Below are 16,092 nucleotides of genomic sequence, written 5' to 3' on the forward strand. Positions count from 1 at the left end.
CAAACCACGGTTTGAATTCAGATTTGCAGGACTCTAAAACCTGTGCTTTTGAGAGCTTCTGGCTCTTTGAACGAACTGAAGACTTTTAGAATGTAAAGGGGACTTCAGGCGTAGAACAATGCCTGGTACATAGAAAGCACTCAGAAAATATGTGTTAAATCAAGTTCCCCTAATAGTAAAAAAGAAGAAACTCAGGCTCAGAGAGGTTAAGTCACTTAACTGAGGTCACCCAGTTAATGACAGCGTTGGGATTGCCTCCTGGGCCCACAGCTTTGCAAAGTGGTCCGGAAGTCTCTTTGCAAAGTTCTATACCCCAGGGAGTGCAAGAGAGGCTGGCATGACATGTAATTCCATCTTTACGTAGAGCATAGACTGGTCAGTTAGAATGCAGGAAAACATCATGAATTTTTAAAGAAATTGCTCTAATAAAGTCTGTATTGTGTTGTAACATATTGTTTGCTATAATGGACCAGGCTCTATTTTTATTGGAAAGCATTGCCTCTCTTGGAAAACATGTTGCAAGGTTTAAAATGCATTTGTTTTCTGATGCCTTTTTGTACTCTCGCAGTATACCTGGAAATTCTCTTCCAAAACCTCATCTAGTAATCAAATAATTATCCATACCCTAGGCCTTTACTGACTTCGTTCCCTGAATTTTTTATTCAGTTTACAAAGCAAAATAACATGCTGTTCATGGGAAGCAAGCACTGTGCCCATTTTCATAATCTCATTTACCACTCCAACCCTCTATTTCTATTGCATTTCCTTTCAGTTGGAACTCCTCAAAGTATAATGATCAAATTGAACAATGTTAATGGTCCCACATGCCAGGAAGGTGGTGCAGCTGGATGTCTGCCCACTTCCTGCCCAGCCATAATTAATTCTCACTAAGGATTTGTTGCAGACTTTCTAAATTAGCTTCTAAAGGCATAATACTAATAGCTACCATTTGTTGAGAGCCTACATTAATTCTCTGAAAACCTTCTGAGCCTAGGTATTATGATCTCCTCAGGAAACTGAGGCTTGGAGAGGTTCAGTAATTTACTCAGTCTCATGCTAGTAATTGGGAGGGGAGGGGGCATGGGGCAGGGATTTGCACCCAGATTTGTTTGTTCTAAAGCTCGGGCTCCTTCTCCTGTACCACCCTGCTGCGGCTTAGTGCCATTGGTGGGAAAGAGCTAGGGCTCAAAGTTTGATCTGCATGATTTTTCTAAATTATTTTAAGACCTCAGCAGATGTTCCTTTTCTTCTACGTTCTTTCCCTCCTTGAATATTCTTGTAGCTGGAAAAATGTGCTCAGGACCTGGGAAGCACATCCAAGGCGGTGGGCTCCTCCATGGCACAGCTGCTGACCTGTGCTGCTCAAGGCAACGAACACTACACAGGTGAGACCCACGCCCTTCATGCCACTGTGGCCAGCTTCAGGCCACTGGGTGTAGTGGGGGAGGAGGAGGAGTTCATTCCTTTGACAATACACGTGACATTTTTCTCCCAGCAGTTCACCGTATATTTTTCAAGCACCATGTGCTTGTTACCGGGCTTGATACTAAGCACACAAAGACTAATAAATTGTGATTCCCCCAAACCATTTATGGATTACCCCCATTAGACTATAAAGAAATAGTAATTGTAGACTTCCAGGTCTATCTGTGAATCCTGGAATCCCGCTAAAGTAAAGGCATAAAAAAAGGTTAAAGAGAATAAGAGATGACAACAAATAAGATGTCAATGGAATGTGTGAAAATGGAAGGAGACAGATGCGTGCTAATAGGTAGAGGCGAGTGAACAGAAAGCTGAGGGGTAGGGGAACCAGCAAGGAAGCAAGCTGATTTGTGCTGCAGAACCCTGTGGGGTGAGGCCAGGTACCCCTGAAGGTAGGAGACTCCTTAAACATCTCTATAAGGAACAGATTGCACAATCATCAACTCTAAGAAAAGCAGAAAAGTTATACAATGAGGAAATGTTATTGTGGTAGGAAGTCTATACATATCTCAAATTTTAAAACCAAGAGGTTTCAGTATGAGCACATTTCTTAAAAATATGTATGGAAGGAAAGCTTAAGGAATTGAGTGGCTCTAGGAGTGAGGGTGAAGAGGGGAGGAGTGGGTTATGGATCATTGCTTTTGTTATACAGTAACACGCTTGACTTCTTTTTGAAATATGCATTATTATCAAAGTATAATATATGCACAGAAGACAGCATAAATCCTAAATGGATACCTTCATAAGGTCTCACAAATTGAAAGCACCCAAGAAGCCACTACCAGGATCGAGGAATCAAAAACATCTTCAGCCTCCCGGATGCTCCCTTGTGCCCCCTCCCAATCACTGTATCCCCACTCTCCTTCCCCAGAGTTAAACGCTCATGGCTTTTAACAGCATAGATTAATTTTGCCTGTTTTTGAGCTGTAAGTAAATGGAATAATACAATATGTGCCCCTCGTGCCTAGCTGCTTTTTCTCAGCACTATGTTAGTGAGACTCATCTGTGGTACATACAGTGCTTCTTGCATTTCCATTATCTCTATGGTATTATATTACATGAATATAGCTATTCTTTATGCTGTTCTTGGGCATTTGGGTTGTTGCCAAAAGACACTGCCAGGAACAAGTCCGGTCCACGTTGTTTAGTGAACATAGTAAGCATTTTCTAGCTGTGTACCTAGGAGTGGATTTCCTAGGTCAGAGCTTCCCCATGTGTTCAGTACATTTCTTTCAGCAGTGTATGGAAGCTCCAGTTGTTCTCTATCCTTGTCACCACTTTGTATCGTCAGTCTTTTAACTTTAGCCCTTTTGGTTTGTGTGTAATAGTATCACATTATGATTTTAATTTGCATTTCCCTGATGAACAGTGCCATCGAGGATCTTTTCATAGGTTTATTGGCCATTTTGTGAAGTGTGTTTGTGTCTTTTGCCCATTATTTGAAAATTGGGTTATTGTCTTTTCCTCATTTATAGGAGTTCTTTGTTACTTACATGTATTTCTTGTATATTGTGATTTGCATTTTTAGTCTCTTAAAGTGCCTTTTGATGAACAAAAGGTTTTATTTTAATATATTCCAATTTATACTTTTTTTCTTTATGGTTAGTACTTTTTGTGCCCTATTTTAAAACTTTTGCCTAAGATTAATGCAGATGTTCTCCTCTGTCGTATTCTAGAGCTTCAGTGTTAGATTTTCATGTTTAGAACTTTGATCTATCTGGAATGAGTTTTATTTATGTGCAGTAGGATTCATTTAATTGTTTTTCCACATAGATATCCATTTGACCCAGCACCACTGATTGAAAAGGCTACTTTTTCCCAATGATCTTTAGTGTCACTCTGTTGTAACATAAGTGAACATGTATGTTTGGACCAGTTTGTGGTATTTGTTCTTTTCCATCGATTTAATTGCCTGTTCTTATATTAGTACTATGCTTCCCTAATTACTATATTGCAGTTTTATACTAAGTCTTAATGTTTGGTAATGCACATCCTCAACTTTGTTGGTTTTCCTCAAGTTAGTGTTGATTATTCTTGGCCTTTTCCATTTCCACATAAATTCTAAATCAGCTTGTCAATTCCTACAAAATAATAATAAAAAATACTGTTTTCTTAAGCCAGTATTTTTAAACCACTATTGGAATAACATTGAATCAATTTGGGGAGAATTGACTTCTTTATATCATTGAGTCTTCTAATATGTGAATATCCATTTATTTAGGTCTTCTTTTCTCTCAGTACAGTTTTATGGTTTTCTGCATAGAAGTCTCTGTTTTGGTTAATGTGTGCATGACATACCTTTTTTCATTCTTTTACTTTCAATTTTTCTTCATGCTTATATTTAATGGATTGGGTATCCTCTGAGTTTGTCATTGTTCTTTGGGGAGGGCAGAGAGTATTTGGTGGTGTAACAATCTTTTTCTTTCAATTGGAGTATTTTGTGTATTTATAGGTAGTGTAATTACTGATATGTTGGGGTTCGAGTCTATCATCTTACTATTTGTTTTCTCTGTGCCTGCCTATGGTAAGTTCCTTTTTTTCCCCTTTGCTTGCCTCCTTTCAGATTCATATGCATTTTCAAATTCTATTTCCTTCCTCTTGATTAGTTAGTTGTACATTCATTTACTATTCTTTTATGATTTCTTTAAATCTAAGTTACTCTGTTTACCTCTTCCTGCATAATGCAAGAATCTTGAGACATGTTAACTTCATTTACCTTTCTTTCAATTATTTTATTGTTGTCTTTTTTTTTTTTTTTTTTGAAATGGAGTCTCATGCTGTTGTCAGGCTGGAGTGCAGTGGCACTATCTTGGCTCACTGCAACCTCTGCTTCCTGGGTTCAAGCAATTCTCCTGCCTCAGCCTCCTGCCTCAGCCTCCTAAGTGGCTGGGACTATAGGTGTGTGCCACCACACCCAGCTAATTTTTGTATTTTTAGTAGAGACGGGGTTTCACCGTGTTGGCCAGGATGGTCTTGATCTTTTGACCTCGTAATCTGCCCTCCTCAGCCTCCCAAAGTGCTGGGATTACAGGTGTGAGCCACCGCACCCAGCCTTATGTTTTAATTCTAGGTATATTTTCATCTCCGCAATACAGTCTCAGTGTTGTTCCAGATAGTCCTTATTCATTTGGATTTCCTCCCATAGTTGCCCTTTCCATCACCCTTCGTTCCTTCTGCGTCTCCAGGAGCTTTCATTAGGGATCATTTCTCTTCTACCTGAAGAACTCCCTTCATTATTTTCCTTAGTATTAATCTACTGGTGACAAGTTCTTTCCATTTTGGTTTGTCTAAAGATGCTTTTGTTTAGCTTTTATTTTGGGTGGATAATATCACTTACACAATTTTAGGTTGGCAGTTGTTTTCTTCCAGCACTTTGGAGATGTTATTCCATTGTTGCTGGCTTCCTTTATTTCTGTTGTGAAGCTATGAAGGTAATGCGGTTTTATTTTTCCCCTTTCCTTGCTTTTTGAGTTTTTTTAGTCTTCGATTTTCCAGCAGTGTGCCTGGAGGAGTTTCCCTGCATATTTATCCTCCTTTGGGTTGCAAGTGCTCGTTGAAAATGGGATTTGTTGTCCTGGGCCAGTTTTCAAAAAATCAACCTTTGTTTCTTCAAATATTGCTTCTGTCCCATTTCCTTTCTCTTATGCTAAATCATTTCACAGTGTTTCCTACATCTTCTGTACCCTTTTCTTCTTCATAGTTTTTCTTTTCATGCTTTAATCTCAGTATCCGCTTTTGATCTATCTTCCAGTTCACTTTTCCTCTCTTTAGCGGTGTCTATTCTGCTTTCAACCCCTTCAGTTGAGATTTTAATTGTAAGTATCATATTTTTCAGTTTTAGAATATCCATTTGATTATTTACTTATAGTTTGTGTCTCTGCTGGAATTCTGTATATTGTCATCTAATTTCTTCAACATATTTATCACAGTTATTTAAAGTTGAAATCCAGTATCCTAATATCTGGATAGCCTGTAGCCTGTTTTTATTGTCAGGGATTTTTTTTTTTTCCCACCTCTTGGTTTTTCAGCCATTGGTTTTGTCTCCTGGTGTTTTCTTTTTTTTTCTTTAAGACTGAACATTGCTGTTTTAAATTGTAGAGATAGTTTGAGGCCCTGAATTATGTTTTTTTTCCCTACATAGGATTACTCTTCGCTTCTGGCAGGTGGATAAGATAAGGACAGATCACAATAAAAATGCAGGAACTGAGCTGATTGGAAATTGTGTGGTCTGTTTCCATTTTACCTTTGAGGGTGTAGCCCTTGTGTGTCCCGTCTGAAAGGGTTGCTGTTTACCAGGGCTATTCTGTTTTTTTGGGCTCAGAACTATGCTTTTTCTCTTCCTAGCCCCATGAGATATCAAGAAACTTTACTCAGCTTCTTGGCAATAGGTTACAAATTAGGAAATGCCTTTAGAGAAAAAGCAATCCTAAACATTGGACTCACTCCTTCATTTCAAGATCTTGGCCCTCTTTACCTTGGTGCCTTGGTATTTCTCCAGTGTCTTCAAATAAATGTTTTATATATGTTTTCCAGAGTTTCTGTGTGGGAAGGCTGATTTTCAGTAAGTTATTCTGCCATCACTACAAGCAAAATCCTCTTTGATTTGTAAAAACTGTATACATTTATTACTTTGAAAATAAAAATTTTAATGAGCACAATAGGAACACAAAGTTATAGTACAGTATATAAAGTACCTGCAATAATAAGAATGCAAAATTTGATCCCAATGGGAAGGTAGGGGAAATTTTCAGAGCAGAATTGACACTTAGCGAGGGCTTTGTGGATTGTTTAGGACTCCTTTAGCATTCTAGGAGGAGGAAAGGTATGATAAAATTCTTAGAAAATCATAGGGTAATATGAGAGATTTAAATTTCAAAAATGTCTACACTTTCCCGAAATCTTGCCAGCTGTTGTGTAGATGATGAAATGCATATTTAGTAGAGAAAAGACTACTTTACATGTTGCGTCATCTCATACCAATAACACCCAGGAAGACATGCTGTCTAGTTGGTGTCTGAAAAACAGCCTAGAAGTAGCCCCATTTAATTTTGGCAGGCACTGGAAGGCAGTTGCATAAGTGAGCACTGCATGTATGATGCCTTAAAGATGAGAGAAGGATGATGGAAGGAACTGAAGATGGTGAAAGTAATAGGCAAAGAGTAAGTGAGAAATAAGAGGATAACGCTGAAAAGTTAGGCCAGGGTCAGATCCTAAAGGGCCTCATAAGCTAAAATAAATGAGTTATACTTTAATTGAAGAATATGTGAACATGTTTTTCATCTGTGGACACAGTTCAGATTGCTTTTTGTATAGGTCGCCCTTCCTCCTGTGTGTAGAATGGATTGGACGGAAACAAAGTGGTAGGCAAGCAGGCTGTTGCATTAATCCAGGTAAGAGATGGTAGTGTCCTACAGTGGAGACGAAGTGGTCGATTGAAGAAGCAAAAACCCAATCGTTCTTGGTGACTGGTTAGAAGTTGGTGGAGATGGTAACATGAACGGTTCCAAGTGTTTGGCCTTATAGCTGAGTGAAGAGTTGTATGAATCACTGGTGGGAACACAGGACCATTGGTAGGAGCAGGGGAGGTGAAGCTCAGGAATGCTGGGTTCGGCACTAGATATATTCCATTTGAAGTGCTTGGAGAATATGCAGTGAGAGCATCATTAGGCAGCTAAATCTTTGGCTCTGAAACTCAGTAGAGAAGGCTGGGCTGGATGATACAGATTTGAAAATTATTGGTAAAATGATAATGATTGGAAGTAGATAATTTTGCCAACAGGGAGTGGTAGAGTGAGAGACAGCTTATCAGTTGTAATCCTGAAGAACCTGGCTGGTTAGGGAGGAAACTGGCAATGGAAATCTTTGAAAGAAAGAAGAACATGGAGCTGTGGAGAGGGCAGGGAAACCAGGAGAGAGGGATGTCTCTAGAGCCATAGACACAGTTGCTGCCCAGAAAGTCATGTCAAATGGGAGACTTAAGCATCCATTAGCTTTAGGAATAAGGAGATCACTATTCTCCTTGTTGAAGGCAGTTTCAGGAAGGTTGGAGAATGGATGGGAAGCAAGGAAAGAGAGAGCGTGTGTGGAAAACTTCTCCATGGGTCTCAGTTTCCTTGTCCATAATTGAGGTGTGTGGGGTTTTCAGAAGTTGCATGTGAGCTGCCACTGGGCTGTATTCTAATGCAAGTGTGTTTCTGTTTGGCCAATGCAGTCTTCAAAATATATTTCTGTATAGCTGATTACAATTACACATAACCCTTTGTAAATACTTTGGAACAGATAAAAGATTTGTGTCATACCTGGTCTTTGTCTTCTGAGGTTGCTATGTGGCCCAATACTGTCTGGATACACAATCCACATGAATTCTGGTGAAGAATAGCAACCATTATGTAGAATGCTACTATATTTGATATCACTTGATATGCCTGTATAAGACTCTGTTACTAAGTATCATTTAAGATCCAGATGGCAAGAATACTGTGAAAGTAATCTGTGTTTTCAAAGGACTGTGGTTATTGAAACAGAAATCTGCTTTAGTATTTCACACTGGTGGTTCTGGTATTGTGGTGCACACTTTGACTACAGGAACAGTTCCATTCGGTGGGTGTTGTTTGCTTGGGGATCTGATCCTGTAGTGATGACCATTGAGAATGTTGCTGTGCGTTCAGCCATGCACCGCCATGGGTGTTCACTGGGCTTTCTGACCTCTCGTGGCCTTCTTTCGTCCTTTTGATGGTATGGGCTTCCTGTTTCCAGAAACCTCATCTCTCTCAAGAAGATCCTTGATGTGCTTTGAGATTTCACAGTGAGTCCTTAGCAGAAAACACATGGGATGGACCAGGTTGTTCTTGGAATTTAGCTCTTCGGATTTCTGCGTTTTTTTAAATTGTATGAGTCTATGAAAGGTTTTTCACTAAATGGGTTTTGCATAAACATGTCTTTTCTAATTACATATGATAAATGATTTACTCCTCCAAACTTACATATGACTCAAATAGAAGTGGATTCAAGAGTCCATATGACAAATGGGAAGACAAGAGGAGAGGTCTAGAAATCACAGCCTAGAATCTGCAATGGTCAGAGCTAGGAACTCAGCCTCTCCTAAAACCCGTGAGAAAGGGAGGCCCAGAGGGAAAAGGCAGCAGTCTAGACCACACAACTAATCAGCAGCAGAGCCAGAGCCAGATGAGGTCTTAACTACATCTGGCGCTTTTCTGAGCAACAGCATCCTTCAACCCTGTGCCAAAAGCTTAAGCGTAAAATGGAATGACCATTCTCCTCAGATTGTTTCTCTCCTTCACCTTAGCTTTGTTCACCTTTGTGCTTTCTCTTCTGGGCTTCTCCTCTGCCATAAAAAGCACTTAGTTTAAAATTCTTTTATTCTGCCAGCTGTACTCAGAAGTGCCATGGGATAAATGATAGATTGGCAGCTTTGTCATTTACCTTGATTAGATCGTAGTTTTATATCCCAGCTGTGTGATTTACTAAATATTTACATATTAGCAAGTCTGCAGCACTGCAAACCCATCTGGTTTTATGGATCTGAGGCCTTTCACACTCTATTGTATCTCAGAGCCTCACCCTCAGTGAGGAAAAGACCACCTGCTGTGGAGGTGCTGACTCAGCTGAAGCAGTGGCTGGTAAAGACTACACTCACTGGTGCCGAGAGACCTTCCAGCTCAGTCCTGTAGAAAACAGTCATTTCAAAAGTTCAGTGCGAGAGAGACACTGATTTGCGTATTTTTCACGTAGATCTTATATGTTCTAACAGAAAGGGCTCATAGTTCTCTACTGCAAAGAGCACTATAAAGAATATTTGACCTCAAAGTGAGGAAAGCTCAGATCTAGCTCTCTTGCCACCTCTGGAAGTGTTTGTGGGCAAGATATGTCTCAGCACCAGGCTTCATCTGTGAAATTTCATGAGATGAGCTCTAGGGTAAGCTGTTCAGCGATTCTCAGGCGTTATATGTGTCCTGGCATCTCCAGTCTTCATCCTCTTCTTGGGTGTGCCAAGGACTGTGTGCCAGGTAGTAAGACTCACGTTTATTCCGCATGAGGTGGTGCTACAGCTTTAAAGGACTAGTTTATATTCATCGTTTATCACCAAATCCCATCATCTGTTTAGATGCAAATTTAAAGAGAAGGAGGCACTTCACAAAAGAGGATATCTAAATGGCCATTAAGTACATGCAAAGATGCTCAACATCATTACCCATTAAGGACATAAAAGTTAAAACCTCATTGAGATGCAGCTACACATGCATCAGAATGATTAAATTAAAATCCGATGCTACCTGGTGTTGGCTAGGATGTAGAGCAACTGCAGTTCTTACAGATTGCCAGTGGAATGTGTAATGGTAAAGTCATTTTGGAAAACTGTTTTTGTAGTATCTTCTAAAGCTAAATATATACTTACTGTATGACCTAGCAGTTCACCTCCTAGGTTTATATCTAAGAGAAGTGATCCCATATGGCCACTTGAATATATATATAAGAACTTTCTTGTTAGATTCATTTATAACAGCCCCAAACAGGAAACAACCCAAAAGTCCATCAACAGGAGAATGGGTCAACAAATATTGGCATATTTGTATAGTGGAATACTATATAGCAAGAAAAAAGAATGAACTGCCAGACATCACAACTTAGCTGAATCTCACAGCATTATGGTCAGAGAAAGAAAGCAGACACAAAAGAATATATATATGTGGTTCTGTTAACATGAAGTTTAAGAACAGGTAAAAGGCTGGGCGCAGTGGCTGACGCCTGTAATCCCAGCACTTTGGGAGGCCGAGGTGGGCAGATCATGAGGTCAGGAGATCGAGACCATCCTGGCTAACACAGTGAAACCCCGTCTCTACTAAAAAAAGAAAATACAAAAAAATTAGCCGGGCGTGGTGATGGGCATCTGTAGTCCCAGATACTTGGGAGGCTGAGGCAGGAGAATGGCGTGAACCTGGGAGGCAGAGCTTGCAGTGAGCCAAGATCGCGCCACTGCACTCCAGCCTGGGCGACAGAGACTCTGTCTCAAAAAAAAAAAAAAAACAGTAAAAGTAGTCTAAGGTAATAGACGTTAGAATGGTGATTACTTCTGGTATGAAGGGAGCATTGACTGGCACAACTGATGGTGGATATGTGGCTGTATCCATATGTACCAATTCACGGAGCTGCACATGTAGACTTGTTCACTGTAGTGTACTGTAAGTTATGCCCCAGAAAGGCAATTGAGAAGAAAGGTGCTTTTAAATGGCCTCCCGCAAACATGTGCAGGTAATTCCATCTGTGTACTCACTGCCATGCACTTGGTGTTCTAGGTCTAGGGACAGTGGGGCAGTGGGAGCAAGGGAAGTCAGGGGGAAGAAGTCTTTAGTATTGCATTTGTTATTAATGTGTCTCTTGGTTTGGCCCAGAGCCAGGGGGATATGTTTCTGAAGCCAGCTACTTCTTTGAGAAACACAGCAATTCAAATTTTATGAAGACTAATCTGCAGCTCCCCTTCTGTGCCAGGCCCTGGTCCAGAAGCTTATTCCTAAGTAAAATGTGCCATTTAGATGGAGTCTAATTGGAAATCTGATGGACTTTTTCCCCCAGGGGTGGCTGCTAGAGAGACGGCCCAAGCTCTGAAAACACTGGCCCAGGCCGCCCGTGGAGTGGCTGCATCGACAACCGACCCCGCGGCCGCCCATGCCATGTTAGATTCTGCTCGAGACGTGATGGAGGGCTCCGCCATGCTCATTCAAGAGGCCAAGCAGGCCCTGATTGCACCTGGAGATGCAGAGCGTCAACAAAGACTGGCTCAGGTGAGGCTAGGAATGAGAAATTGTGGTTGTCATGGTCATCATTAACGTGGACATGTGGTCGGGCTGTCTCCTGGGCACTTTTCCCTGATATGAACACTGACACAGCAGATGTTTTCAGAAACTTCCAAAGGTCATAACGATGCTGGCCATACATGATACTCACTTTTGTAAGTCTTGCCTAGTATTCTCCACAGTAATGTGTGATCTGCTTAATTCACAGTCAGCAGAGGGCATGGGGGCCTTTGAATTCTGTCCTTGGGAGTTTCAGAGCCAGGACATAACATGCTTGTTTTGGGCCTATGTGTGCTGAGCTATATTGCTGTTCCTTGCCAGGGAATGAGGTAGATCCGCTAGGGCTGGCCACTCAGAAGTTTTCAACCCTGGCGCTCTATTACTTCTTTAAATGATTCTTCGACTGCCTGATGGAACCAGTTGGCTAAGGAGCATCCAGGCAGAGTCCTGGACGTGGGGCTGGGAAGGAGATGGCTTAGATGAGAGGGAATGACACTCCCCACCTCCAAAGACCTTCCTTTTAATTGAGGATACCAAAGAATGCAAACAGGGAGCCACCAAACATTTCTAGGCAACGTGAGGGCAGCTCCAGGTTGTGCTCAGAGCACCCCACTTGCCCTTGGGCAGAGTGAGGTTTGGGAGGATGGCCCCATGAGTCACTGAGCAGAAATTAACCACAGGCCTTCTAATTGTGATCCAAAAAACTCAAGGTCTCCTTCCACCTCGGCGACCTCAGCAGGGCTCCCAAGAAGGGAGATATTTTCATTTCTCTTGGTATAAGAAATCTTTGCTTTAGAACCTGACCTCATGCTGGAGAGTTCTATGTTTGAATCACAAAACTGTGGCTTACCCTGGCTTTGGGGAGCAGGTGGGATGTGCTGTGTCACTGTGTCGGACCCTTTGCTGAGACAGAATATTAACCCCAATAAGAGGGTGGAAAACATCTCTGGGACAAGGGGCCTGGATGAGGTGATGTAAGACAGGTAAGAGTGGCAGGTGGATGCTGGTGGGTCATTTCCGTATCTGCTTCAGCTCTGCATGTTTCACTGCCCATTCCCAACAAATGTGCAGAAATGTTTGTACTTAAAGGTGCTTCTCTCTCTCCACGAATTCAGGTGGCTAAAGCCGTCTCACACTCCTTGAATAACTGCGTAAATTGCCTCCCTGGGCAGAAGGATGTGGACGTGGCCTTGAAGAGCATCGGGGAGTCCAGCAAGAAGCTGCTTGTGGATTCGGTGAGAGGTTCTTAGATTGAGAAAGGACACTGGGGGACTAGGCTCGCGTTAGGTGTGAGTGAAGTCTTCTTCTCTCCATGAGATCTCTGAGCAGCTAACCCTTCCTTTAGGAGTCCTGTTTTTCCCGCCAGTCTTTGTTTTCCATGTTTTGCTGTCTGATCAACAAAGTTCCCAGGTGGAGCTTTTAAAGTTTACTTTTTCTTTGAGCCCATGTTGCCATTTCCTCTCGGATCGTCCCGGTGAGACAGGCAAAGGGGTATGTGATCACCTGTCTTCTCATCAGGACATCTCAGATAGTGACAGTCAGGTGTTGGAAGGGTACGTGTGTCCAAGCCTCAGTGAGAGAGCGAGTAGTCTGAGGAATTTCACCTTGGGGCCTGTTCCCTTCCCTGCTTTGTGAGTCTGCTGAAGGAGGGTTTGTGCTGGTGCATCTTTGTTTCTTCTCTGCACAGGTATAGAGGCAATGTTTGTGGGTGATGAATAGAGTCTAGCTTAACTCCCTAGAACTTTTCACAAATGGTTATCAGTCTGCTAGATGACATTTAAAAGTTATTAGCAAAGGCCACTAATATAATTGGTGGCTATTAGTTTGGAAGAACGTGATTTGAAGTTTGAGAGCATCTGCCTTTTAGTTTACAAAGCTAAAACTTAGCTTTCATCTTAACAGAGACAAAATAGGGTAGAGTTTTAGAGAATGGACCCTGGAGTCGGATTGCCTTGGTGTGGATCCTGTCTCTGCCACTTAGGAAACCTTGAGCCCCTGTAGATAGCTTACATTTTTAGATCCACAGTGTCTAGCACTGAGCAGGTGTTTGATACATTTAAATGAATGAATGGATGTATATGTTGGTGGTCAAACCTATTAATAAAATGGGCTCAGATGACTCAGAGCCTTTTAATCGTGATGACTCAAATGCATCTCTGAAGAGTCTGTCTCCCTTCCACAATACCTTCCTTTTATCCCTCCCCTGCAAAGCAGAATGTCTCATGGGGTGTGCCGTCTGTTCCCCACAGCTACCTCCAAGCACGAAGCCTTTCCAGGAAGCCCAGAGTGAACTGAACCAGGCAGCAGCTGATCTGAACCAGTCTGCTGGGGAAGTGGTCCATGCCACCCGGGGCCAGAGTGGAGAGTTGGCTGCAGCCTCTGGAAAGTTCAGTGATGATTTTGATGAATTCCTCGATGCTGGCATTGAGATGGCTGGCCAAGCTCAGGTGGGTGTGGAGGTGGTTGTCTGGAGTTGACCTTAGCCTCTCCTCTCGGATGGATAATCCATCCTTGAGACTGACTGAACAAATAGGAAAAGGAACCTGGAAACAGGCAGGCCATGGTTGCATTCTTTTTGCTGCTTAGGAAGCTCATGCCCTCATGGGAATGGCATTCCCAAAGATGCTATCAGCTTATGCATGAGGTGCTGTTAGTAATAAAGAATAACTTCTCCCACGATCCTCCAGCAGAATTCATAGTCTTACTATTTGGAGGGAGGGTAGGAGGAGGGAGAATGTTTAACAAAGATTAGAACAGCTCTTCAAATGTGGGATAATACAATAAAAATATATATGTATTTGAGGTTTAATGGACCATTCAGATGGTCTGTGTCTAATACAGAGTGTCAAGTGATTAAAAATTACCTCCTTCAGATGAACAGATAAACCCCTTGTTTAGAACAAGGGAGCTTGACTGATCTGGTGTCAGCTTGCAGAGCTGTGTTTTTTGTTTTTTTTTTTTTTTCTGCGCTCCTTTGACCTCCCTAAAAGAGATAACCAGGGTGTATCTTCTTCTAGTATCTACAAAGAATTGTTTCTCAGATGGCAACCGGGTGAGAAATGTGTGCTTTCCCGAGTCAGGAACTTCAGGGATGCAGTCAGCTCTGAATATCGAGACAGTGCTGGTCGTTTGTGCCAGGCCGAGATGTACAGCTCCTTGACAACTCCAGCATTGTTGAGCAAGATGCTGGAATCGCTGCCTGGTCTGTGCATTGGCTCACAGCTCGCTCACTCTCCTCCCACCCTGCTCCCCGCTTAATGCCTCTAGTTGTGAGAAAAGCACAGCTCTTGGCTGACCCACTTGGGGATGGATTTCTTTCCCTGTGGCATGCATCTTGATCTGAGCATCTGTTTGGAGAAGGGTAGACACTGGTCAGTGTCTCAACGAGTTAGGCATCTGCGGGCTAACTGGGTTTAATGTGATCTATACGGATAACCTGCCTGCATGTCAGGATGCTGCTCCTAGCTCTCTGAATGCCTCCTTCAAGAAATGGACAGGCCCTAATAGCTCCGGCTCCTTTTGACCTTCCAGACAAAAGAAGACCAGATCCAAGTGATAGGGAACCTCAAGAATATCTCGATGGCATCCAGCAAGCTGCTGTTAGCTGCCAAGTCTCTCTCTGTAGATCCAGGAGCTCCCAATGCGAAAAATCTCCTGGCTGCAGCTGCAAGGTAGGAGTGGGACACAATGTGCTTTCGTGTGTGGTTAGACAGTGTCATTGCAGTCTGAAGATGTGCCTGACATCCTCCCACTTTTGCTGAGCAAAAGAATTGGTGCTGTCCTTAGGTCATGGGAGGTGGAGCTGAGAGTGATGGACACTCTGATATTTTATAAAACTGGCTCATTTCCATGTTCTTTCCCCACTAAAAATATCTTCTGTCTTCTCATACAGCCTTTTCAGTAGAGACTTGTTTAGACGTAAGGTCCATTTTGACTTGTAAATGCAATGAATTAAACAGATTTTTTTTAAGTAGCATTATATCTTTCTGATTATAAAATAGTATATATGCTTCTTGAAACATCAGAAAATACTGAAAAGCGTAAAGATGAAAAGCAGTGCTCATCAAGTCATTCAGCAGACTTTTATTGAGCACTTAACCCTGTGCCTGGCATCAGTGTTAGATTGAATGTAACATGTTGTATCTGTCACATGGGGAAGGCTCCACTTTAAGATGAGTAGGGAGGCAGTGGGAATAAATTGTTTTTGGAAATATATTAAAACATGAGTGTGAATTTTGGATGATTTGGGTGTCCTTCTTTCCTGTTGGTTTCACCCAGGGAAGTGGATAAAACAGTATAGTTTCTGCTCCAGGGCCACAAGTTAGTTCAGTAACTAGTGGTTGAATGTGGTATGTGGAGCACTGCAGTGACAGCCCAGGGGGTTCTCGTATCAGCAGCCCCTCTTTCATTTTCCTGAACCCAGAGAGTAGGGTGGTCATGATTCTGTGGTGGTGCAGGCATGTTTTTTTAGCATTATTTACCATCATATTACGTATAAGAAAGCTGACAGTGGAGAGAGATTAAAAGCAGGACTATTAGGGGATAGAGAGTAATTGGAGGCCTTTTTATAATGTGCAGATTCGTGATTTTTGAAAAGCATAGCTTTGATTCTGCTTTCCTTTTTTTAACTTGGTTTTTTAAAATTTGCGCGTGTGTGTGTGTGTGTGTGTCTTTATGTCTCCCCTGGGAGATCATTGGCTGTTTTTTAAATTGTCGGCATCAAGAGACCTGAATTATATTCCAAGCTTTAATACTTGACTAACTCAGTCGCATTGGTCAGGTTGCTCAGCCTGTCTAA

At 42.0% G+C, this 16,092-nt stretch overlaps 1 protein-coding gene across 2 annotated transcripts in view; it reads left to right on the plus strand.

Annotated features, from left to right (window-relative positions):
* The window catches only part of TLN2 (talin 2), a 454,082-nt gene that overhangs the window by 335,255 nt on the left and 102,735 nt on the right, over positions 1-16,092 (plus strand). For both annotated transcript variants that reach the window (NM_015059.3, NM_001394547.1), the window contains 5 exons: positions 1,283-1,385; positions 11,074-11,282; positions 12,410-12,529; positions 13,544-13,741; positions 14,826-14,965. In NM_015059.3, coding sequence (NP_055874.2) covers positions 1,283-1,385; positions 11,074-11,282; positions 12,410-12,529; positions 13,544-13,741; positions 14,826-14,965 — 770 coding nt within the window. The remainder of the gene's footprint in view (positions 1-1,282; positions 1,386-11,073; positions 11,283-12,409; positions 12,530-13,543; positions 13,742-14,825; positions 14,966-16,092) is intronic.

The sequence above is a fragment of the Homo sapiens genome, chromosome 15, assembly GCF_000001405.40.
Source record: "Homo sapiens chromosome 15, GRCh38.p14 Primary Assembly".
NCBI lineage: Eukaryota > Metazoa > Chordata > Mammalia > Primates > Hominidae > Homo > Homo sapiens.